The 26803-nt window shown below is 43.0% G+C and overlaps 1 long non-coding RNA gene across 2 annotated transcripts, besides 1 other annotated feature; it reads left to right on the forward strand.

Annotated features, from left to right (window-relative positions):
* The first annotated feature begins 8331 nt into the window (after nt 1-8331).
* Nucleotides 8332-25991, forward strand: LOC105374776 (uncharacterized). 2 transcript variants are annotated; one of them, XR_002959393.2, is made up of 3 exons: nt 8332-8589; nt 20226-20471; nt 23651-25991. It is a non-coding gene; the product is annotated as an uncharacterized LOC105374776 (long non-coding RNA). The 2 variants fall into 2 exon arrangements; XR_001739503.2 differs by lacking the exon at nt 8332-8589 and adding an exon at nt 20018-20051.
* Nucleotides 15784-16327: an enhancer, noted in NCBI's record as "H3K27ac-H3K4me1 hESC enhancer chr2:65011799-65012342 (GRCh37/hg19 assembly coordinates)". NCBI's record gives its function as "activates a minimal SCP1, AML or CMV promoter by ChIP-STARR-seq in primed H9 embryonic stem cells {active_cell/tissue: H9 hESC(primed)}" and the evidence as "EXISTENCE:reporter gene assay evidence [ECO:0000049][PMID:30033119]".
* Nucleotides 25992-26803: the final 812 nt, after the last annotated feature.

Here is a 26803-nt window from a genome sequence, read left to right on the forward strand (position 1 = left end):
TTCCATCCCTCTCATAATTTGTTTTCTCCAATTCATTTCCTCTTTTTTTTTTTTGTCACAAGTAACTGTATCTGCATGATTTTTTCTTCCTACTGCCATAAGTTCTGTTCCCTTAAGGGCTCAAGCGTTCCTGGGGTAGGGAGGGGACAAGAGAATTTCATTGCATTTTATCTGAGGGAAATAATGTGTTGTAGTTCCACTTTCAGGGAGTCGGGGATACTGGGATTTTATACTTACATATGGGTCAAACCGTCTTAGCTGAATAAATCACAAACCTCTGTAATATCTAGGGTGCTTGGGTGCTTGCTTACAATAAAAAAGGCATGCAGGAAAAGCGGCGGTGGGGGGGGAAGTATTTTCAAATTAGGTCTCTAAATAGGGATTTTACAACATCCGTTTATTATTATTATCATATTATTATTATTTAGAAATGGGATCTCACCATGTTGCTCAGGCCGGTCTCCAACACCTGGCCTTAAGGGAGCCTCCCAACTTGGCCTCCCAAAAGTGCTGGTATTACAGGTGTGAGCCAGCATGCCACCCTCCACTTATCTTAAAGTAAAATTTTGATTATATAGTATGTGAAAGAGACTGGCATCTTTCATTCACCCATGAAGTGCCATCTCCTTGGTCTCATTTTTTTGCATTTGTCCTCATCTGCGGAATGTCTGGCCACTTTGCTGTTTCCTCTGGGTGTGGTTTAGAGTACAAAGTACAACCCTTTATCAACCAAGCAAATCAGAAATAGCTCCTAGATGTGGGACGTGAGAAAAAAATCAGGCAAAAGAATGGTTAACATTTTAACAAAAAGCATGCTGTTTGTGGCTGAAATATTTGGAGGTAAGAAGGTGTGTGAGTGGTCCCAGGGTGAGGGGGCGAGGTAGGAGTGGGGGTTGTGCAATTATGATAAATATCTAGGAGGCAGTTCTCTTTGCCAGGGCTGACCCCCAGGTTGGGCGGGGCCTGGACATAGCACAGATCACGTTTCTCCGCAAGTGATACCAGATAGAAATGAATGTGGTGCAGCCATGACAGAAAAACCTACAACCAGTGGCAGCAATGACAACATGCAGAGATGAGGAAGAGTTGTCCAGCTGAGGAGAGAGAAGTGCAGGGTAACTGACAGGTTTGTCTTTGTGGGTACCAGCTCTGTATCAGGAGCCCTTCCTCCATCCTGCCACCTCTTCTGCCTGCCTAAGTTACCAAACCTGCTTTCTGCCAGCCAGGACCTAGATTGAAGGGGAATCAAGAACAAGCTATAGGTCATGAGCAATCCTAGCCCCACATGCCAGCCTCACACCCTTCAAAACATTGTAAAGATTTGAGCATCCAAAAGTCAGGTTCTAGCCAGCAGGGTTAAGACTCTAAAATAATAATCATATTGTATCAGTATTGAAATTTATTTTATGCTAGGTACTCTGCTATGTGCTTTAACACAGTATCTCATTTAATCTATGTGCTTTAATCTCAGTATCTCATTTAGCAACAAGAGGACTTTGAGATATATATTAATACTCTTATTTTACACATGAGAAAACCAAAGCAGAGAGGAGTGATTAAGGGTTTATTTGCCTTTGGTCACAAGGCTAATGAGTAGTAGACCAGGACTCAAACCGCTGTCTAGCTCCAAAGCCTGTAATATGAACCCCTCTGAACAAGGAGGAGATAAAGGCCATTCCCAACCACGAGGACCTGAAAACTCATCATCTAGTGAGGGACAGTTGCAGTAGCTCTCTCTTATTTATCACTTAGGGACCCAGGTCTGTGTTTACAGAGGTCTACAATTCTGCAAAGAGAGCACTATGACAATCACCTTTGTTCCTTTGGAACTTGATTCAGGTCCTTTTAAGGAGAATCTGTAAACCTGAAAGAGCAAGGATTTCTGAGAGGACCCTAAACTGTCCTAAGCTGTGCTATCAAGTTTGGGGAGCAAAGCCTTTATCTGCACAGAGCAGGAGAGTTGGCTCCTTCCAGCAGCAAGAGAGCAGATCCATTACCAGGAGCAGTCGCGGCAACAGCAGCTGTCAGCAGTGATGAGGCAGGCCCCGAGCAAGACGCTGCAGCTTGGGCAGCAGTGGCAAAAGATGAGGGTGGGGAGCAGTACAGTTGTAGTGGGAAGAGCCTTGATCAGAGACAGGTTGGCAACAGCCCCAGAGATGAGCCAACACTTAGGTCAGCAGACATTGGAGGAGTCCCAGACCCTACCGGATTGAGTGCAGGCAGCCACAGGCTGGAGGTGTTTGACTAGAAAAGAACAGTAGAACTGCAGTACTTAACAAGGACTCTGGAGCCAGCCTGCCTGCATTCACACCCTGCCTCCATCCCTTCCCCACTCTGTGACCTTAGACAAGTTCATTAACCTCTCTGTGCCTTAGTTTTCTTATCTGCAAAATGGAGATAATAATGCCACTAATACCTCCCTCATAGGGCTGCTGTAAGGGCTAAATGAGGGAAGGCTCACAACGGACCGTCTTGGGCACATTGTAAGTCCTCTCTCAGTGTAAGGTGTTCTTATGATAATTATTCAGCATGAACAGGCTGAGCCCCCTGGAACTGACAGGGTAGGAGGGCAACAGGGAGAGTCCCGCTTGGGGTGTCCATTCCCCCAGTAAGAAAATAAAGCAAAACCAGATAACAGACTGATGAGGTTGGAACTCCAACAAAATCCTGGGTAGAAGTTTAAGTGTAGCGTAAGACCCTAATTCCTCCCCACCACTCCACCCTAGCCCCTGCCTTTTCTGTGCTGAAGACCCTGAAATGCAAATTCCACAGAATGAACAGCAGTGTGGGTGAGTAAACCAAGCATTGGACTAAGTGCCAGAAGAGTTAAGTACAGGTTGTACCCTTGAGTAAGTCACTTAACTTCTTTGAGCTTAAATTTCCACGTTTGTAAAATGAATTAGGATGAACTCTGGGGTTGGGGTGGATCTTCCCATCATCCTTCCCTTCTTCCAGAAACTGTTTCTCTCCAGCCCCCAACTATTGGGATTACCATTTTCTTACATGACTCCATCCCCCTGGCCACAGTTGATTGGTCCATGAGTGGGCATCTGACACAAGCTGGGCCAATCAGAGGACTTCCCTGGGATTTTTTTTGTTTTGTTTTGAACTGGTACTGAGAAAAATCAGCACCTCTGTGGTGGTGAGTCTGTAAAAGTAGGTAGAGTGGGGCTCAGGACCATTTGGCAGCCCTATTTTCACCCTGTGAAGTCTAAGAAGCAAACATGCAGTGAAAAGCAGAGACAAGAGATAGGTCCCTCTGATGGCATTTGTATCAAGTGTTTCTGAGACCCACGTGTACCCTTGCCTTGCCTGCAGTTAAGTGGGACACTCAGATGTCCTTCCAATCGATTCACCCCTTTTGCCTAAGCTGGATCAAATTCGTTTTCTGTCACTTGCAAGATGCTGATTGATACAGACTAGTTTATTTCTAAGATACCTTTAACTCTAAATGTCTATGATTTATATAAAAAATTAATGAATGGTGTTCAAATAGAACTATGTCTCTGAATTGTGGGTATTCATGCGGAATAATCAAAGGTTTGTTAAAAAAACTCTCATTTAACTCACTTAAAAGGGTAGACTAGGTTAAAGATGATCTCTAGTCTTTTATTATATCTAAATGAAAGAAATAAATAGGTCAAGAGCTGGTGTTTTGGCGAACTGTGAGGAAATCAGCCATTAAGTTATAAAAATTGATTTCAAAACTGTTGACGTGGTGACCTGGTTTTGAAATTGAATTCATTTTTTCCTGTGACCAGTATAACACAAGAGGAGATTAGTAACTTTGGCTTGATGAAGAACAATAATTTAGAAAGGCTGGGTCACAATGTGGGTATTTTGACCTAAGTTACCTACATTGACTGTCTACACTACATAATCAGTAATGAGTGAGTGAAATCTCTCTTTTGGTTTAAACAGATAATGTAAATAACTAGCTAAGTCTCCCACTTCTGGTTTCTACTCTAATCGATCCACCTGTCTGTGTGTTATTAAAAATAACTTACATTTTAGCTTTTGGTAAATAATCTTTATTTAGGCTTCTTGAGCATTTATGGATTTCAATATGTAAAATTTTACATTTTTCCCATGGTAAAATAACTCAGTTATCTGATAACAATAAATCTTTCTATTTCACTTTTAAAAATATCCTAAAAATGAGCCCCCAAAACCTTTCTATTTCTAATGACCTCTTCTCAATATTAAATTTGAAATGTATGCACATGTGTCTATACTTACATCTGTAATTGTGTCTCAATATTCTCATCCTACTATAGTAAATTCTTGGTAATTAGTGGTAGTGGGGGATGGTACTTTCATAGATAATGTTAATTGAAATCCATAGAAAATTATGAGTTCTCATTTTTGCTGTTATTGTGATTTTAATCTCCTCCCCAGGGGGGAAAAAACTTTAAACCAGAGTTGACATGTGTAGTAGAAAAATTAGCTATTTTGGGTTTCACCCACTCTTGGCCCACTTTTCTTAGTGGATGACCTCCCAAGATGTAAAACTGTAGGTAAGTTAGAAGTGGGAAGAGGCAGAGGAGGCTGGAGATTGTATATACCATTACTGAAATGTTAATACATTTGAATAACAAAATATTGGTGATGTGGGCTAAACCCAGGATATAGTGGCACCTGTTTACTAGCCTCAGACTCCCAAGATTCTCATCTGGAGCAGCGCAAAAACCCAGCTCTCCACATCATCCTTACTTACAAGTCGGAGCCCATGTAGCTGTAACTACTTTCGCTTTCTTTCCGCTTAATAAGTCTTGTATAATCCTTCCAGTCTGGGAATTCCTAATCAGCAGTCAGCTGTTCTCAGTAGCCTAAACTATATATAATACAACAACCCTTTCCACCTCTACTTTGCCCCTCGCCCTTCTCCACCTTGAACTGCTCAGGGACCTTCTCACTCTGTTCTGATGTCCATCATGTCTTGGCCGCAGAGCATCTTGCTCAGTTGACTATTTCTTGCTTTATGTTTTGGTACCACTTCATTACAGAGGATCACTGGAGGACAGGTTTTCTAGGAGACAGCCCGTGGGCGGGGCCTGAGCAGGGAGCTCTTCCGGATTCGTGGCTGATCTTGGCTTTTAATCTTCTTTTGCTCTGATTACTGTGTATGGCCACGGGTGTCAACCATTTGTGCCTGTCCTTGGTACAGTTCCTGTTTTTGCCCAGGACACTTTGGATCATTCTCAGTACCCTTTTTCCACCCTTTTCTACGCACACAGCTAGAAATACCCAGCTCTACCTTGCAGATAGAAATACAGGCATACCTCAGAGATATAGCAGGTCTAATTCCAGACCACTGCAATAAAGCGAGTCATCCTAATTTATTTTGGTTTCCCAGTGCATATAAAAGTTATATTTACACTATGCTTGGTCTATTAAGAGTGCAATAGCATACGTCTAAAAAACAATGTGCATACCGTAATTTAAAAATACTTTATTGCTTAAAAAAATGCTATGATCACCTGCACCTTCATTGAATCACAAACTTTTTTGCTGGTGGAGGATCCTGACTTGATATTGATGGCTGCTGACTGATCAGGGTGGTGACTGCTGAAGGTTGGGATGATTGTGGCAATTTCTTAAAATAAGACAACAATGAGTTTGCTACATTGATTGACTCTCCCTTTCAGGGAAGATTTCTCGATAGCAAGCAATGCTGTTTGAGAGCATTTGCCCACAGTAGAACTTCTTTCAAAATTGCAGCCAATTGTCTCAAACCCTGCCACTGCTTTATCAACTAAGTTGATGTAATATTCTAAATCCTTTGTTATCATTTCAACAATGTTCACAGAATCTTCACCAGGAGTAGATTCTATCTCAAGAAACCACTTTCTTTGCTTATCTGTAAGAAGCATTCATTCAAGTTTTATCATGAGATTTTGGCAATTCAGTCACACCTTCAGGCTCCACTTCTAATTCCAGTTCTCTTGCTATTTACATCACCTCTGCAGTTACTTCCTCCACTGAAGTCTTGAACTTCTCGAAGTCAGCCATGAAGATTGAAATCATCTTCTTTGAAACTCCTGTTAATGTTGATATTTTGGGCTCCTCCCATGTATCATGAATGTTCTTAATATCATCTTGAATGGCTAATCCTTTCCAGAAGGTTTTCAATTTTCATTGCTCAGATCCATCAGAGGAATCACTATCTATGACAGCTATAACCTTATGAAGTGTATTTTTTTTAATATTAAGACTTGAAAGTCAGGCCAGGCGTGGTGGCTCATGACTATAATCCCAGCCTTTAGGAGGCTGAAGCAGGAGGATTACTTGAGCCTAGGAATTTGAGACCATCCTGGGCAACACAGGGAGACCCTGTCTCTACAAAAAAAATTAAAACTTAGAGCAACATAGTGACGCATGCCTGTGGTCCCAGCTACTCAGGAAGCTGAGGTGGGAGGATGGCTTAGGCCTAGGAGGTTGATGCTGCAGTGAGCCATGATTGCACCACTGCACTCCAGCCTGGGTAACAGGGTGAGACTTCGTCTGGAAAAAAAAAAAAAAAAGAAAGACTTGAAAGTCAAAATTACTCCTTGCTCCATGGGCTGAAGATGGATGTTGTTTTAGTGAGCATGAAAACAACATTAATCTTCTTGTACATCTCCATTGGAGCTCTTGAGTGACCAGGTACATCATAAATGAGCAGAAATCTTTTTTTTTTTTCTCTCTGAACAGTAGGTCTCAACAGTGGGCTTAAAATATTCAGTCAACCATGCTGTAAACAGATGTGCTGTCCTTCAGGCTTTGTTTTTCCATTTATAGAGCATAGGCAGAGTAGATTTAGCATCATTCTTAAGGGCCCTAGGATTTTCAGAATGATAAATGAGCATTTGCTCTGACTTAAAGTCATCAGCTGCATTAGCCCCTAGCAAGAGTCAGCTTGTCCTTTGAAGCTTTGAAGACAGGCATTGGCTTTTCTCTAGACATGAAAGCCCCAGATGGCATCTTCTTCCAATAGAAGGCTGTTTTGTCTACATGGAAAATCTATTGATTAATGTAGACATTTTTATCAAGGCCTGAGCTGGATCTGGATAACTCACTGCAGCTTCTCCATCAGCACTTGCTGCTTCACCTTGCACTTTTATATTATGCAGATGACTTCTTTCCTTAAATTTCACGAAACAATCTCTGCTAGCTTCAAACTTTTCTTTAGCAGCTTTCTCACCTCTGTTAGCCTTCATAGAATTGAAAAGAGTTAGGGCTTTGCTCTGGATTAGGCTTTGGCTTAAGGGAATGTTGTGGCTGGTTTGATCTTCTATCCAGACCACTCAAACGTTCTCCATGTCAGTAATAAGTCTGTTCCACTTTCTTATCATTTGTGTTTTCAGTTGAGTAGCACTTCTAATTTCTTCAAGAACTTTTCTTTTGAATTCACAGCTTGGCAAAAGAAGCCTTGCTTTCAGTGTATTTTGGCTTTTGATGTGCCTTCCTCACTAAGTTTATTCATTTTTAGCTTTTTATTTAAAGGGAGAGATATGTGACTCTTTCTTTCGCTTGAACACTTTGAGGCCATTGCAGGGTTACTAATTGGCCTGATTTTAATATTGTTGTGTCTCAGAGAATAGGGAGACCCAAGGCAGGAGAAAGAGAGAGAGAGAGAGAGAGAGACAGGGGAATGTCTGGTCAGTGGGGTAGATCACTATAACAAATAGAGTAACTACAAAACATTTGAAATACTGTGAGAATTGCCAGTATGTGACACAAAGACACAAAGGGAGCACACCCTGTTGGGAAAATGGCACTGATAGACTTGCTGAAGATAAGGTTGCCACAAACCTTCAATTTGTAAAAAGAAAAATACTCAATAGAAGAAGCCAAAACCCTGGCTGCATCTACAGAGAATTACATACCCTCACTTTATATACAGATACAAATTCAATAGAGGAAACAGCACCCATGTATGTCAACCGTGGCTCTCCTGTTTGGTTCACATTGAGCATGGGAAGACAGACAGTCAATAGGCTAGTACAGCGGTGTGCAAGTGGTGGCCTGCAAATCCTAAACAGGTGGGCAAACAAATTTAGCATAATCTGTGAAATGTGTTTTTACTGCACAGTAACATACAGTCACTACAATGACGTTAGCCAGGGGGTAGTGCCACCGGGTGTAGAGCTGTGTACAGCTTGCTGCCAATACATTAAATACTAAAGGAGTTACACCTAATACTAGAATATGGGTAGATGCATGTAAATGTATGGCCAGGGAAATAAGCTGGTGATACCCCCGAGAAAACTGTAGACACTTTTATAGTTAATGTGAGATGTTGCTTTGTAATTACTTCTCACTTATTTAGTCCTGTTTTGAATCTTTCAGTCTCTTCCAGTGCACAACCAAATTTTCAGGAATTTGGAAATGTGTCATGAGCACACAAAAGACACTGGATTTAAACAAATGTGAGTTATCATATGGTGTGGACTAAAACCATGTGAAACCAAGAGCAATAGCATTAAGATGGATGATGAGGAGCAAGGGAAAATGGAAATGGCGAGACTGTGGCCAGTGTTAGGCCGACATTGCAGCAGATCTACATTCCGCCGTGAGAACAGACATGGGGACAAAAGCCCAGACCTGGTAAGTTCCTTAACCTATGATGCGAGTGAGGACTATGGGAAATCATTCATTCATTCATTCATCTTTAAATCCATTAAGTAAGTGTTACTGAGCCTCTATCATATGCCACATGTTGTGTCCTGGGAGATGAAGACATCACAATAAGAGAAACTGTGTCTGTCCTCATTGAGCTGTTATCCTAGCTGGGGAGATGGACACAAACCAAGTAAACTGAGAAAACAAGGACAAGTAACAGTGTGTTATGAAGAAAGCCAACAAGGGGCTGAGATATAGAATGGTGTGTTTGGGAGATGTTATGGATTGAATGTTTACATCCTCCCAAAATTCATATATTGAAGCCTTAACTCCCAATGTGAAGGTATTTGGAGATGATACCTTTGGAAGGTAATTAGACCATGACCGTGGAGCCCTAAGGATGGGATATGTGCCTTTATAAGATGAGACCAGAGCTCTCTATCTCTGTCTCTCTGTCTCTCTGTCTCTCTCCAAGCAGGCACAAAGAAAGGGTCATGTGTGTGCATGCCTACCAGCCTGAAACAGTCCTCACCCAAAACTGGCCATGCTGGCGCCCTGATCTCAGACTTGCAACCTCTAGAATGTTGTGTAAGCCACCCAGTCTACAGAATTTTATTATTGCAACTTGAGCGATAACACAGGAGGGAAGACTTGTAGTAGAGAGGGTAAACTGGGAAGGCTTCTAAGACCTCCTAAGTTTGACTTCCCTCCTCAACTCTTAGCACCCAGCAAAACAGCCTCTGGAGTTACATGGAGACTCCAGTTAGAGAAGCTCTGTATGTGGCCCTGTATCAAGTAAAAGGTCTTTATATTTTTCAAATGGATGAAGAGTGGTAGGGGATCACCAGCGTAGTTCAGAATAACCTCATAAAGAGAGCTTAAAGTCTCTCAGAGGTGAAAAAAGAATGTCTATTACTTAGGAGAACCAGTAGTGAGTGGTGTCAGAGAAGTAAAAGGAGGGGATTTCAAAGATTGTAGTTATTAGACCCACCATTAGATCATGTTAATTGATGTTTTAGTAAAGAAGCAAATATGTTACTACATCACAATTTACATGTGGACACCTTCCATTCTTATTCTCTTTTCTGTCTTTACATTTCTCTTTACCCTATCACTAACATGCTGTATATTTTAGTGATTTTTCTCTCTGTCCTATGAGACTATAAACTCCCTGAGGGCAGAGATTTTTGTCTGTTTTGTTCATGGCTGTATCTCAGAGCCTAGAACAGGCCTTAACCAGCACATAGTTGAACAAATGCTCAATAAACAGCTGTTGATCAACTGACTGATTTTTCAGTTGACTGACTGACTCTTTTCTGAATAAAGCCATAAGCCCCTTTGTCATACAAATTCCCTCATATCCCTTAAAACACACCTAGCAGATGTCAGACATGTTGCAGATGACCAAGTGGATGTTGGTGATTGAACTGTCTGTCCAGAGTCCTGGACCTAACCTTTCAGGGCTCTTTTTTTTCTCCTATTAACCCACGACTTACTGACCGTGAGAGAAATAGAGTCTGGATTGAAGACAAGCTGGTGTCCTGTAAAGAATGAGCACATAAAACAGTTCAGCAAGTGGCTTCTTTGATTTACTTGTGAAAAAATAGCAACAAAACATTTCAGCAAGGATACCACTCCTAGGTGGCTATGCAGGCAGCACTGAAGTGTAAAGGCACTCCTGAGGCCACAGTCATGCCAGATTTCCCCCTTTGTGAAATGAAACAGATATGACCCTACCTTGCAAGGTGGTTGTCAAAATCAGGGCACGGTAAATGCAAAGTATCCATGGCAATGCTTATACACAGGATGTGTTCACTGAATGATGACGATTTGAGAATGAAGTTGGGCAGCCCTCATCCAGTGCAGCCTCAGCATTGCTGGTAATAAATATGTGACCCATTCTAAAGCTCTCTTGGCAGCCTTATCTGATATAGATTCTGAGGTCACAGTCATTTCTTAAGGCCACAAGACCGTGCCAAGACCCACTCAGGTATTTTACGCAGTTTATTTCCTTCCTCATCCAGCAGCATCAATGACTTTAGACATTAAACATTGGAAGAATGCTTCTGTGTCATACTTTAAAACTGATTAGGACTGCGTCCAAAAATAACATCAAAAGAATTCTCCAGTTTCCAGATAGGAGCCAGTGCTGTGAGCTGTCCTAATGCCACAGATAAAACAAGAGGGGTGCTGCCATCTTTTCTAGGAGAGTGAATTCTCCTCTTTATATATGGAGGAAAAATTCTCTGCAGTGAGGAAATCATTGATTAATCCCACGAAACCCATACTTTGACATTGGTTGCCTTTTCCTCTGAAAGTTTTACTTTTCCTTTCCTCCCTTTTTCTTTTTCTTTTTTTTTTCTTTTGAGATGGAGTTTCTCTCTTGTTTCCCAGGCTGGAGTGCAATGGCGTGATCTTGGCTCACTGCAACCTCCGCCTCTCGGATTCAAGCGATTCTCCTGCCTCAGCCTTCTGAGTAGCTGGGATTACAGGCATGCACCACCATGCGCGGCTAATTTTGTATCTTTAATAGAGAAGGGGTTTCTCCATGTTGGTCAGGCTGGTCTCGAACTCCCGACCTCAGGTGATCCATCTGCCTCGGCCTCCCAAAGTGCTGAGATTACAGGCGTGAGCCACCATGCCCGGCCCTTTCCTCCCTTTTTCAAAAATTCTCATCCAATTATTACTTCCTCTCAGCTCCTCTCTATTAATCACTTTCCTGTTTGCTGACTTTCCTTTTCTTCTCTCTCATGTTTGCCTGCTGTACTTAATCTTTGGTGAATCACTTTATTTTTTCACTTGCCTACTCCACAGTTCTTCCGAGTGAGATCTGAAGTTCTTAAGCTCCTTTTCTCTCCTGTGTGGCTCTTCTGACCTTTAAGATACAGTGGCTACCACTCTGGCTCAGAATGCTGCAAACCTCCCTTTTCCACCAAGTCCATTTAGTTTAGAAGAAGCTTTTTTTTGTTTGTTTGTTTTTGAGACGGAGTCTCGCTCTGTTGCCCAGGCTGGCATGCAGTGGCATGATCTCGGCTCACTGCAACCTCCGCCTCAAGGGTTCAGGTAATTCTCCTGCCTCAGCCTCCTGAGTAGCTGGGATTACAGGCGCAAGCCACCATGCCTGGCTCATTTTATTTTTAGGAGAGGCAGGGTTTCACCATGTTGGCCAGGCTGGTCTCGAACTCCTAACCTCAGGTGATCCGCCAGCCTCTGCCTCCCAAAGTGCTGGGATTACAGGTTTGAGCCACCGTGCCTGGCCTAGAAGAAGCTTTAGTTCCTTCTACTTAATGGCCAAGGCCTCAGAGAGACTCTCAGACTAGGAAAATGGCATGCTCAGTGAATCCTTGTTTCCTTACAGCCTGAAAGAGTTAATATGCAAACAGCACTTTATGAATACAAAGGATAGGCTGACATATTAGGGAAAATAGAGTGCCTTGTATGTTGCTGCCTCCTTCAGAACAATTTGAGGCTAAGAGAGCTCGTAGGCCTTAGCAGGTGTTGTTAGCACACACAGGGAGCCAGGAGAACCCCTTGGCCTCAGGGCCATAGCTACATGCCCTCTGAGTTTTGTTAGGAAGGTCCTGCCCCTCCATTTTTCTTTTCTTTTTTTTTTTTTTTTTTGAGATGGAGTCTTGCTTTGTTGCTCAGGCTGTGTAGTGCAGTGGTGCAATTTCAGCTCACTGCAACCTCCACCTTCCAGGTTCAAGCAATTCTCCTGCCTCAGCCTTCTAAGTAGCTGGGATTACAGGCGCGTGCCACCACACCCAGCTAATTTTTTGTATTTTTAGTAGAGACGGGGTTTCGCCATGTTGGCCAGGCTGGTCTCAAACTCCTGACCTCAAGTGATCCACCCACCTCAGCCTTCCAAAGTGCTGGGATTACAGGCATAAGCCGCTGCGCCCGGCCCCTGCACCTCCTTTTGTTATGGCCCCCATGAGTACCCAACTCACCTCTCACCTCTGCTCCAACTTCTTGGCCAACACAACACATCAGAGAGAACTGGACCTTGGCTCATTCCTTTCCAGTGGCCAACCAGCCAAGAGAACACCTGCTTTTCATTCTCTTCAGGGAAGTGTGAACTTTTCCCTTGGGGCTATAACCTGCACCTATGCTATAACACCCTTCCCCTCCACCACAACACATCTTGTAGCCTAACTACAGAAGGTGCCCAAGAAACCCCCAAAGTTTGCTCCTCACAGTCTAGGGTCACCCCTCAGCTATTACCAAGCCAGGGAGTGAGACTCCATGGTGGACAATTTATCTCTATAATTTTGTTTTCCTTTGTCTACATTTGGTCAGCATAAACACTTCTGAAAAATGGGCTGCAGCTGATGCCTTTTAGTTTAGTTCCCTTTAATGGGAATTTATAAAATGACTCTTACTATGCGGAACACATGTTCTAAGTATTCAGTTACTTGATGGATTGAAACAGTGCTGAGAGATATAGAACACATGCTTAAAAATATTCCTAAAATGCCTAATTACCCTGTGGACCAATCAGATACATAATATACATTTTAATATACCATTTAATTGTTGTTTACCAGGAGACAGGAACCTTTCTGGTCTCTTGGGTTAAACTACAGATTTTTAGAAACTGTCTAAATACGTATTTACTTGATTCATTCTGATCTCTTGGGTGAAGAATCCTTTTTCCAAAGAAGTGGCTTTACATGCAAAACAAGACAATTAAATACTCTGAGGTGGTGGTTACTCATGAAAAGACAATGGCTTTATCTTTCATGATTCAGGGATAAAAATCCCAAAGCTCAGCCAAGCCCCAGAGCCCTAAAAATAATCTACACTGGTAACTCTACATCACTGAAGCTCACCCACCTCAGAACAACTGAATATTTTTTCATCATAACAATCTCTGATAAAAATGTTTAAATTGCATTATGCTGGCTTCTTTAAAAGAGAACAGTAAGGATTTATGACTGGATATTTCTACCTCCAGAACCCAGCAAGTCCAAGGGAGAACTCATTATCTCCCTATCTGAAAATCCTGTTTCTCCTCCCCAATTCCCGATCTCAAGAAATAGTACTGTATCCACCCAGTACTGATGTAGGAAACCAAAGCGCCCTTCTTGACTGTCTTCCCTCTCTCTCTTACCTTCACTCAATCAGAAATTATTTGGGCATGTTATTTAGCTCCTCTGCATCTCAGTTTCCTCATCTGTAGAATGAGGATTATAATAGTTCAGACTGGGCCTGGTGCAGTGGCTCATGCCTGTAATCCCCAGCACTTTGGGAAGCTGAGGTGGGAGGATCGCTTGAACCCAGGAGTTCGAGACCAGCCTGGCCAACGTAGCAAGACCTTGTCTTTATTGTCTTTAAAATAATAATTTTAAAAAATAGTACAGACCTCACAAGGTTGTCATTGTAAGTTTTCAATGTCCAGTGCTTGTGATTGTGCCTAGCACATCATAAGTGTCATATATGGGTGTTCTTTCTCCTTCTCCCACCACATTAAACATCTCTAGAGTCTGTTTCCTTCTCCCCATTACCACTGCCAATGCCCTAAATCTAGCTACTGTTGAATTCCTCTCACCTGTTCCTCAAATTGGTTTCCAAGCATTCACTGTCTCTGACCTCACCCAACCCCTTTCCAATCCATTCTTTGCAAGGAAGAGCCATCTCCCACATTCAAATCTGAGCATATCTTTTCTATGCCTGAAAGCCTACCATGGCTCTCCCCAAGTCCAGCTTCTAGAAATGGCTTTTAAGGCCCTATGTGATCGGCCTCTGCTTCCCACTCCAGCCCTGTGTTCCAGAAGGTTATGGTTAATGGAAGTCTGACTTCAGCATGAAGCATCATGGATCCTGTCCCCCTTCCTAGTAATAAGGGAATCCTCCCAATGAGGTGGCTTCCAAAGTGTGAGGAAATCATGTTGCCTCCCCTAAGTCCTTCCTCTACCCAAAGCGTGAGGTTACACGTTTAGTTTTCTTGTCCTCTTAACACAACAGTACTCCCTGGGAGGGCCAATATTCTAAGCTTCTTTCCTACTGAGCTTTGGTGGATAACCAGCTTCTCATGAGAGATGATGAAAAAGTTTGATTTATGGCCCAAGACAGAGGGCATGGGCTAGCAAGGTGGACCACAGCACCTAATCGAAAGTGACAAAACACAACTACATGGGAGAAACCTCAGTCTCATTGTGATGGGAGGGAAGTGGACCTGTTTCCTCCTAGGAGAGCAAGAGGATCAGGAGTCCTAAGATAATGTTTCTCAAATTGGAGTGTGCATGAGACCCACCTGGAGGGCTTGTTCAAACATATTGTGGGGTCCCACCACAGAGATCCAGATTCAGTGGGTCTGGTGTGGAGTCTGAGAATCTGCACCTCTCACAAGTTCCCCGGTGATGCCAAGCTGCTGGTCCCAGGGTCCTACTTGGAGAACCACTGCTCAGGGGGACTGTCACGGGAAGCCTACAGTCCTGGGCAGAGGGAGCAGGATCTTCCTTGCTTCCCCCATCTCTAAGTCCAGGGCTGGGAGGGGAAATGTAATGCAGACATTGTTATTCACCACAATGCTTAGGGAGAGCTTGGTGTGTGTTTGGGAGGGATACTTTGATAAACCACTGGGATGGAGGGTGACCCCAACAGCTTGTTTCTGCTACCAAAAGTGGACACTAAATGGCTTACCTACAAGTAGAGAGATTCGTTCTGGTCTTAGGGGAAGGGGGAAAGGAAGGCAAATGAGGAGAACTAGTCAGATGACAAAAGGCAGTAGGCTTCAACATGGGCCCTTCCCAGTGGAACTTCCACTTTCAGAAAAGTTGACTACACTCACGAAATGCTTGGGGGAGAGGCCTGTTAGTAGGTGAAGGTCTGAGCTTTTCCCAAGTGTGTGGAAAGAGGCAGGAGCCACAGGACCCAGAGGTGGACAGAACTCAGAAAACATCAGCCCCAGCAACTCTTGGCAATCCTGCCCCAGACTTTGGGTTACTTAGGTGTGGAAACGAGTATTTAAGCCCAGCACACACAGGCTGCCGGGGTATAGGGAGCTACAGGGGATCTGCTGGCCTGTGGGAGGAGCAGAGGTCCAGGCAGGGCCTGCGGCCAGGTGGAGTGGCCTTTCCCTGCTCTGAGAGGCCCTGAGGGGTGAGCAGTTGAAGCAGGGAGGCCAGTGGGGTAGGTGCCCCCACTCTCCCGAAACCAAGGGCCTGGAGGCACTCACCCTGCCGCCTGCCGCTCATGGCATCACCACCAAGAGAGGGAGGCTACAGCGTGGGCAGAGCAAAGGGACATGGGGCACTGTGCAGCTGGAGCAGCAGGGTCAAGGCTGGCAGGGCAAGCAGGTCTAAGAGTTCACAGGCTCACAGAGAACCACCTGAACCTCTGCCTGGGCTGCCTCCTGAGACTGTGCTGTGTGTTTGTGGCCAGTGTGTGGAAACCCCTTTGTTTTTCTTTGCACTTTCCTCCCTCGGCCTGCTGGGGCCTGCGGAAACTCCTGTTGCAACTAGGCCAGAGGGCGAAGACTGCAACTGGACTGACCAGGGAGACCAGCTTTGGGGAGGGCGTGGCGCACGAGCAGGGCTCACCAGGAGCAGCTGCACCAAGGAGAGATGGGCAGCTGAGGCCTTTATCCTGGCACCTCAGAGCATTCATTTGGTCCTGCCCCAAGGACAGCCTTTAGCCTCTGAAGGTCCAGGGTCAGACCCCCAGCTCCAAATTATCTGAAGAGAACTCCTGTCTACCACAGGAGCAACTGCCAGCATCTATGTCTGACATTGATGAGGGGGTCATCCACCCTCATATCCAAGTCCTTGTTCTTCCTGAGGGCGACTCGAGACTATGGGCTCAGGGTCTCACATTATAGCCACTTGACCTGCATGTGCACAAGAGAAGTTTTTGATGGGAGGGAGGGATGGAGGCAAGGGGGCAAATAGGAGGGAGAGCACCACCTAGAAGGTGAGCACCTGCGGAGTGAGGGCAGGCAGAAAGGAGGTTGCATCCCCTTGATGGCATCTGTTTCCATGGTTACAGCCCCAGAAAAGGAGCAGAGTTCTCACTAGGCCCTTGCTACCTGCTCTAGGCCAAAGGGGAGACCCAAGACAAAAGGTTGACACATGCCCCTGACCATCACAAAAACCTTCTATTTGCTACAGCAGCAGAGGGGAGCAGTGCCCACTCAGAGCCCCAGGGGAGGGTCTAAAGCCACCGTTCATGACTAGCTTTTCAAGCAGAAATGCCAGGCACGGTCAAGTTATCTGAGCAGGGGCTACAGATGTTTGGTCAAACCCTTTAGGGCTTCGGAGCACAAGTGTGGAGGCTGAGAGAAGATTAGGAAAGGAGTTGGGACTAGGGCAGGTACAACCTCTGGAATGGAATTGAAGGATCCTTCCCAGCACAAGCCAGCCAGGGCAGCTGGGGCCAAGTGTTCTACAGGACAGTCAGCAGTCCAGTAGCCAGGGAGACCACAGCAGCTTCTGGGGAAGTCTAAGAGGTGGTGATGCAAACGTTGAGCTTACCTGGTGCAGTAGCTGATGCAGTCCCCAGTGGAGGGGCTGTATGACAAGGGCTTACAAGAATGTCTATGGCAGAGGCTGGGCGCGGTGGCTCATGCCTGTAATCCCAGCACTTTGGGAGGCTGAGGCGGGCAGATCACCAGGTCAGGAGATTGCGTCCATCCTGGCTAACACAGTGAAACCCTGTCTCTACTAAAAATACAAAAAAATTAGCCGGGCGCGGTGGCGGGCGCCTGTAGTCCCAGCTACTCTACTCAGGAGGCTGAGGCAGGAAAATAGCATGAACCTGGGAGGCGGAGCTTGCAGTGAGCCGAGATCGCGCCACTGCACTCCAGCCTGGGTGACAGAACAAGACTCCGTCTCAAAAAAAAAAAAAAAAAAAAAAAAAGGAATGTCTGTGGCAGAAACATAATCAACAGCAAAAGGAGCTAGCAAAAATTGAAGTCCTACCTGGATTGGAAGGACCAATCTGGGTTCAAATCCTAGCTCTGCAACTTATCAACTGATTGACCTTGGGCAAGTCACTTAAGCTCTCTGTGACTGTTTTGTCAACTTTAAGAGGTGACTATAATAGCACCTGCCTAATGAGATGGTTGAGAGGTGACATGAAATAAAAAAAATTACAGAGCTTGGTATATTGCCTGGCACAACTGAGCATGAAATTTGGTATTATCATTGACAAGCAACAACATCTATGATATATTATTAAGTGAACAAATAAAATATACATGTATGGCATAACTCCATTTATGCAAACAGGCACCTCTATATTTTCCTCTGTCTGTGTGTATTTATAAAGAGGATAATCAGGAAGGATCAAACTTCACAGTGGTTAATTCTGGGGAGTGGAATTGGGGAAGTGAGTGAAAGGGGATTTCTTTGTTCCACTAACAAGCATCTAGACTGGTGTTTTGGGGGAATGAGGGTGAGGATGGTAAAAGATGTGGGGGTGAAAGGCACCCTTTCTGTCTCAAGGGACTGTGACCTGCTCACAGAAACTTGCCAAGGCCTCAGTATGTACTTATTGGTCTGAGAACCTCATGTGTCCTCAGGTAACACTCATGGAGCTTTCTCACTGTGGATGATGCAGTTTACCAGGCACCGACTACCTGGCTGCTTGCTTCCTCTGCATAGGGGCCCTCCATTCCATGGCAGGGTCGTGTGTGCCAGCCAGGACATATCCCTGCCCCCAGGCTCCATACCAATCTAGAACCCAACTGGGAGAACCTGAAGAGCAGGAGACTGTCTTTGGTACTCAGCTTTGGGTGAGGCTCACTGCAACGACGGGAGTTTCCCGATGTTGATTGCTGGGTACTGCAGTGGCCATTCTCTCCTTCTTCCTCTTGGTAATTGAGTACCCACAGTAGGCTAAATAACAACCCCCCAGAATATCACGTCCAAATCCCTGGAACCTGTCATGTTATCTCATTTGGAGAAAAGATTTTTGCAGATGTGGTTAAAAATCTCAAGATGGGGAGATTATCCTGGATATTTAGATGGGCCCTAAAAATGCATTCACACATGTCCTTATAAGACTAAAGTGGAGGGTCATTACACAGACAGAAGAGGAGAAGGCAGTGTGACCACAGAGGCAAGGACTGGAGTGATGTGGCCACAAACTAAAGAATGCCAGCAGCACCCAGAATTTGAAAGAGACAAGGAAGGGATTCTCCCCTGGAGCTTCTGTTAAGGACTACAACCCTCATAACACTTTGGGTTTTGGCTGACACAGATTTTGGACTTCTGGCCTCCAGACCTCCAGAACTGTCAGAGGATAAATTTTTTTGTTCTTTTAAGTCACCAAGTTTTTAGTAATTCATTATAGCAGCCATGGGAAACTAATACAACCCTTATCCTTGGATTTTAGCTGGACACATGACCATATAGGTAGAGACTACATTTCCCAGCTTCCCTTATAACTGAGAGTAGCCCTGTGACTAGGCATGGCCAATGACTAGAAGTGATGTAACTTCGGCTTCCCGAGTTTCAAAATCATGTCTTTGTGAGTTGAGACTGCTGTGATAACACACCGCACCATAAACTGGGTGGCTTGTAAACAACACACATTTTTAATTTAATTTTTTTTCAACTTTTATTCTAGATTCGAGGGGTACCTGTGCGGGTTTGTTACATGGGTATATCACGTGATGCTGAGATGTGGGGTAGATTCTGTCACCCAAGTAGTGAGCATAGAACCCAATAGGTAGTTTTTTAGCCCACGCCCCTCCCTCCTCCAGGAATTTGCACTGTCCATTATTCCCATCTTTATTTCAATATGTACCCAGTGTTTAGCTCCCTCTTATAAATGAGAACATGTGATATTTGGTTTTCTGTTCCTGTGTTAATTTGCTTAGGATAATGGCCTCCAGCTGCATCCATGTTGCTGCACAGGACATGATTTTGTTCTTTTTTTATGGCTGGGTAGTATTCCATGGTGTATATGTACCACATGTTTTTGATCCAGTCCACCATAGATGGGTACCTAGATTGGTTTCATGTCTTTGCTATTGTGAATAGTAGCCTGTAGATGTGGTTAAGAATCTCAAGATGGGGAGATTATCCTGGATATTTAGATGGGCCCTAAAAATGCAATCACACATGTCCTTATAAGATAAAAGTGGAGGGGCATTACACAGACAGAAGAGAAGGCAGTGTGACCACAGAGTTTCTGCTTGCGGTGTCAAGCCAGCCAGTGACTATATAGGGCTTTTGCAACAGAGATACGGTGTGAATAGTAGCTACAATGAACATACAAGTACGTGTGCCCTTTTGGTAGAACAATTTATTTTCCTTGGAGTATATTTCCTCAGTAATAGGATTCCTAAGTTGAATGGTAGCCTTAACAACAGAATTTGTGTGTGTGTGTGGTTCTAGAAGCTGGGAAGTCCAAGATCAAGGCACCAGCAGATTCTGTGTCTCATTTGTCCTCACATGGTGGAAGGGGCAAAGGGTTTCTCTCTGGCCTCTTTTATAAGGGTATTAATCCCATGCACGACGGTTCTACCCTGTGACCTAATCACCTCTCAAAGGCCACGCTTCCTAATACTATCACCTTAGGGATTAAGATTTCAACATAAGAATGGGCATTGGGTGGAAGACATTCAGTCCATAGCATTAAGTTTCTTGCCCTCCATATTCTCTTTCCTACAGGTTGGAACTCCAATATGGTGCTGGTAGCCAGCTGTGACCAAGAAGAGGACAACCGGAGCAACAATCTTAGACACAAGGATGGAAGCTGTAAGGCAGGGGAGGAGTTCCAGGGTCCCTGGAGAACTTCATGGAGCTGAGGACGTCCTTCCTGTTTTGTAGTGTTGCATGAGAGAGGAATAACATTCTATATTATTTGGCTGGGCGCGGTGGCTCATGCCTGTAATCCCAGCACTTTGGGAGGCCGAGGTGGGCGGATCAACTGAGGTCAGGAGTTCAAGACTAGCCTGGCCAACATGGCAAAACCCCGTCTCTACTAAAAAATACAAAAATTAGCCGAGCGTGGTAGAGCATGCCTGTAATCCCAGCTACGCAGGAGGCTGAGGCAGGAGAATCACTTGAACCCTGGAGGCAGAGGTTGCAGTGAGCCGAGATAGTGCCACTGCACTCCAGCCTGGGTGACAGAATGAGACTCTCAAAAAAAAAAAAAACACCTGTATTAGTTAAGCCCTGTCATATCGGATCTTTTTGTCACAGCAGCTAGTTTATGCTGTAGCTAAACCACTGCGCTTCTGTCTTGTTCTGATAATCTAGGTCTCCACCTACCCATAAATCCCCCCTACAGCCTGTGCCTGGGTCCTGGTATCCTGCTGACCTACAAATATCTTCCTGGATTCCTGAATATCACCACCTCCAGGATTATTGAGCCCCACGCTCTGTCTGTTGGGACACTTCCACTACTCTGTGTGGAGCTGCCTTATGCAGACTGCTGGCACTACCAGAGTTTGCCTGCCACCACACCCTTCAGATTGTCAGGCTCTAGCTTCGCTGTCCCTTCAGCTGGCTTTGTCTCCCTGGAGTCTCCCCACTCCAGATAGAAAGTTGGCCTTGAGGCCCTAACTCTTTCTTGTCCATCCTGTCCTGCAGCAATTAACTAGGCCCCTCCTGGCTATGTCCTGAGTTATATAGGGAAAGGTTTGCCTGGCTCCTCACAGGAAGCATACCATGGAAGTACAAATCCCTACCCCCAATACCTTCCCTGGCTTACCCTGAAGCTGAGTAGAATTTCTGCTCGCAGTGTCAAACCAGCTGGTGACTATATAGGGCTTTTTCAATAGAGATACATTTCATTCTTTGCTAGCTTACACTTATGTTTGTTTTCCTTCCTGCAACTTTACGGCGGACATCAGATACTGATGTTTGCCTGAGGATGTGTACTGCTTCAGGAACACAAATTTCACATTTGGAATGTGCACAAGTCTAACTTCAGGTTAACAATCACCTGTGCTCATAGTAAGAAATGCTTTTGATTAACACCGGGGTGTGGAACAAAACTCATCTGGAATCCTAGATTAGGCAACTACTATTTATTTATGCAAAACAGTAAAGTCATTAGAGCCCCCATTCCTGGTAATTGTCTCAGAAAATGCATTCCCTGGCCTCACAATTCGTTTTATACAAAGCAAGAAGTTATTTGGGTTAATAACCTTGAGTTTTAATGACTCAATCAATATTTTGGTTTCTGCAGGCTGCTTTGCTACTGTAAATTTTGAGTACAGTGCTTGTGGAGTATATAAATATTTAGCTAGTCATTGAAGCATCAGTTAATGAAATAATTTAATCTTTTCTTTAATTTAGAAAATACTGTTGGCAATGAACTGGTATGAGGTGTTTATTTCAGCTGCTCTCATAGACTGGGAAACCAAATTGCTGCTGTGCTGTATGGTTTATTACTTTGTCACATTGCAAATCCATACTGCAAGTATCTCTTTTAGATTAATCTCCTTCAAATAGATCTTGAATAACCTAGTCACTTGCCTCAGATGGTTTTATCCTGATTTTAAATTTACAACCATGCTTCTCTGTCTGTTTTAAGATTTGCAGTATTGTGTGTTTGTGTGTGCAGTAAATTTACACATGTACTAGGAATCACAACCAGGACTGATTACAGATTTCTTCCTTTTAGAATGTGATGACTTTGAAAAAGAAAAACCTATATATTCAGAGTTCAAATACCAAATATAGCTTTCAAATACCAAAATGGCCATGTGAAGCTTTCTTTCAACTGGTTATTTTGTCTGAATCAAAGCTTCCAAAAATGTGTTCCTCGGCATACATATTCTTGGGATGCTAAAAGGATTCTACTTTGTTTCTGTTTGGAAATTCAAATGAAAACAAAAAAGATTATACAATCCAGTTATTAGTCTCTTCACTAGCCACAGGGAATCTTGAGGTTGAAGGATTGTACATACTTAGTCCTTTATTTTTCAAGCTGAATTATTAGGAGGGATTGTCTTGGTCTGTTTTGTGCTGCTTGAACAGAATACCACATACTAGATAATTCATAATGAACAGAAATTCATTGGCTCACCGTTCTGGGGGCTGGGAAGTCCAAGATAGAGGGGCCAGTGTCTTATGAGGGCCTTCTTGCTATGTCATCCCATGGCAGAAGGGCAAAGGAGGGTGGGGAACTCATCCTTGTATAAGGAATCCACTCCTGAGATAACAAAATTAATCCATTCATAAGGGCAATGTCCCCATGACCCAAACATCTTCCACTAGGCCCCACCTCCCAACACCACTGCATTGGGGATCAAGATTGCAACACTCAAGAACTTTGGGGGACATATTCAAATGATAGCAGAGCTTTAGCTCTTTAACAGTGACCTAGAAAATAACTACCAATGATTGCAAGTTTTTCTAATACGTGATTGGTTGGTGCCAGCTCTTGGTAGTAAAATTGAATCAGTAGAATCAGCAAATAGTTCCAAAGGTTTTTACTGAAAAAAAAAAGCTCTGACTTTTTAAATCAGGGACTTTGAATATCAACTGAGTATTAGATTATATTAAGGAACTATTTCAATCTTGACGGATGTGATAAGGACACCTTATGTAAGAAGATCGCCCCATTGTTAGATGCATACTCTGTACAATAACATATGCTGTCTGAAACTTCATTGAAGATACTTCAGGAAAAAGAAGTGACTATAGATAAAACAAATAGGACAGAATAGTAATGGTTAGTGATGGCTGGTGAAACTCGGTGATGAGTCCAAAATGCTCTTATATTCCCCAGTTTTATTTATACTCAATTTTCATAATACAAAATAGAAAAGAGTTCTGTGGTCAAATAAGCTTTGAGAAACCCTGGTTTTAATAAAATTAATTTAGGCATTTTTTTTTTTTTTTTACCGTATGCCTTTTTATGTATATGTAACTGTGTGTGTAAATCTTTTAATTTTCTCTTTGATTAAAAGAAAACTTTTTTTAAAGACTGATATTCTGCCAAATATGCTAACTAACTCTAGGAATGACTGCATTCTACCTAACAACCAGTTTGGATTGAATTGCCTGCACTGACCACTACTGGACTGCATGATCAAAACAGGTGGCTTATGCTTTTTTTTTTCCCCATCTCTCTATTTCAGTCATAGGCAGCAGATCCCTGTGGATGAGCTTCAACTTCAGGGAGGTCAGCCACTTACTAGCTCTCTAATCCAGGCGAGTCATTAAACCTCTCTGCCCCTCAGTTCCTTCATCTGTAAAAAGGGATAACAATATTACCTACTTCACAGGATTACCATATAGAATAAATGAGATAACACCTGCAAAGCATTTCACATCCTTCTTGGAACACGGTAAGTCCTCAATAAAATCTGGAATTAAAGAATTAAACTCATTCTTTAAAGGCCAGCTTACATAATATGTGTAATGGAACTTTCTGAGTTTCCTCTACTCAGGATTAATTCCTTTATCTTCTGCATTCTGGCAGTTCTATACCTCTATATGTATGATTTAATTGTAAATGTCTCAAGGATAGGGACCATGTCTTATTCATCTCAGTATCACTCCAGCATTCTAATACAGGCTATCAAGCCCCAATGGATAAAAAAGAGGGTGGGGGGTCATCTTGGCAATTCAGCTTCCTTTAATCCTTGAAAGACCCATACAATACCACTTACCTACCAATGCACAACCACATCTAGCTGCAAGAGAGGCTAAGAAATGTAGTCTTTATTCTATACATTGAAGCAACACCCTATCTATCTATCTATCTATCTATCTATCTATCTATCTATCTATCTAAGATGAAGCCAAAGGATCAAGACTAGTTCTGTAAAGAGTACATTGCCTGCTTTCAGTGACTCTTTCTGCCTTTAATATACTGATTTCGGGATAAGAAAACAACAGCTTCCTGATATTATAAATATCGTTGAGCTTTTGTCATACTAGGAAATACCTTTGTATTGACACACTCAAATACTATTCAGAAAAAAAGCCTTCAAATCCAGAAAAGAAATAACATAAGTGCCTCTGTAGCAGTAACGTCCCCACTGAGGCACAGCAAGCTCAAACACTGAGCATTTTGACAGGAAAACACGCAGATATTTACTTTGGCAACAGATAGATTTCACAGTTATTACTTCCCAGGTCTAAGCTATATAGTCATACGTCTTCCAAAAGAACACACAGACAGCAATATAAAACCCTGGCTTTAATCAAATTATACCTGTTTCTTTAGTGTGAGCAAAGCTCTCTGCCAATACATAAGCATCTTTTCATTTGGTTTGCCTGATGTGGCATATGAGTGAGAAATCAGGTTAATCCAGTAGTGAGGACATACCAATAACAGAGACCTGATCTCAATAAGCTTTTGGCAGGGAAAGCTTTATAGCGTATCTGTTCCTTTCTAGTTGAGGTAGAAAGGAGTTCATACAACCAAGAGTGCAGAGCTCTTCAGTTCTCATGGGAATGGCTAACTGATTCATGGTGCATAACAAAAAATCTGCAGATGACCTAAACCATCATACTGACTGTCAGATTACATTTTCTTCTTTGATAATATTTTACCCAAATGACTAACAAGTATACACAATGACTACTTGTGTATTTTTCCTTTGTCTCACTTCCCTTATCACTTAGGACATTTCTTCTTATTGAAATTAATCAACAAATATTAATAGAGACATTTAATTAACAGTAATTGAAGCATTTGCTGTGCAATGTAAGAAACACAAACTATATAAAGGCACTGCCCTCACTGAATTTAGTTTACAATTCAATTGATTTTATTTGGAGTTTTTGTTCATTTTTTAACCCAAATTGTGGCATATTATATAACTACTGTGTACCTTGCTTTTTTTCACCTAATGCCTCTTGGAAAGGGTTTCATATTATTATAGAAATATGGAATACATGGGACTATGGGATATTCCTACGACAAGAGTATAAAATATTCCATATATAGGAGTATGGAAAATTCCATTTACAGAAATGTGGAATTCAAAAGAATAGAACTGCCTTATTAGCCTTTTTAAACAGCTACATAATATTTCATTGTATGAAAATAACATAATTTACTTAAGTCCTTAAATAATGCACATTAAATCTTTTGCTGTTACAAATAACGCCGCAATGAATAACTTTGTACATTCGCTACTTCCCACCTGGGCAAATACATCTACAGGATAAGTACCTAAAAGTTGAACTGCTGGGTTGAATTGCAGAGAGCATGTGCCCTTGTGATTTGGTACTTGTTGCAATCAAATAGCTATTGCCAGACTGTCCTCCGTGAGGGAAAACAATTTACACACTCCGTAAACACTCATAAATTTACTTTTATGTATTTGGAACTTTACTGTTGAGTGTCCTCATCAAGAGAGGCAATTATCAAATTTTGTGAATTTTGCCAGTCAGAAAGATAAAAAAAAGTCACTTCCTATTTTTGATTTGCATTTCTTTTATTATAAATGAATGAAGCTGAGCACTTTTCATATGTTGAAGCAGGTATTTAAGTCTATTTCTGGATTCTCCATTCTGTTTCATTGATCTGTCTGTTATCTGTCGTTTTCAGAATTGAGAAGAATGATTCTTAATTTAAAAAGTAGAAGGTAAAACTGAGTTCTACCACTCACTAGCTAACTGTCTGATCTTGAATGAATCTCTTAATCTCTTTGATCTTAGCTTCTCCGTCTGTAAGACAATAAGGTTGAACCCCATGGGTTCATTAACTCAGATACATTTGTTGAGTTTTAAACTCCTTTGCTGGGTGCTGTTGATGTCAGGGAGAGCAAAAGCAGACACTGTCCCTGCTCACATGGAATTTACCGTCAGTGCGGGAGGGTCCAGCACTATTGGAATAATGACTTAGAGCACTGACAGTCCTAACTTAGGAGACTTGGAGAGGAGAAAGCAGGGAGAGGGCTGGAAAGGTTCCCAAAGGAAGTGAAGGAAGTAATGTGGAAACTGAGATCAGGTGGGAAAAGAGTTAGCCAGATGAAGCCAGGAGATGGTGGAGAGGAAGGCGTGTGAGGACTTGGCATGAAAAAAGAACTCTCTATTGTAGTTGGAGATAGACAGGAAAGTGGTAAGTAAGAGACGAGAGAAGCTAACGAAGTACACAGGAATCAGTTCCTGTAAAGCTTGGATAGATATTATGGTCTTTATCCTAAGCATTTGTCTTGCCTGGGACCTCTAAGAAGTAAAATCTGAGTTAAAGACCAAAGTGGTGACACTTTCTTGGAAGGCAAAAGCCAGGACAGTGAGGGTGAGGAAAAGGGAGGTAAAGTGAGGAAAGATGT

Source organism: Homo sapiens, chromosome 2 (genome assembly GCF_000001405.40).
Source record: "Homo sapiens chromosome 2, GRCh38.p14 Primary Assembly".
In the NCBI taxonomy this organism is placed as follows: Eukaryota; Metazoa; Chordata; class Mammalia; order Primates; family Hominidae; genus Homo; species Homo sapiens.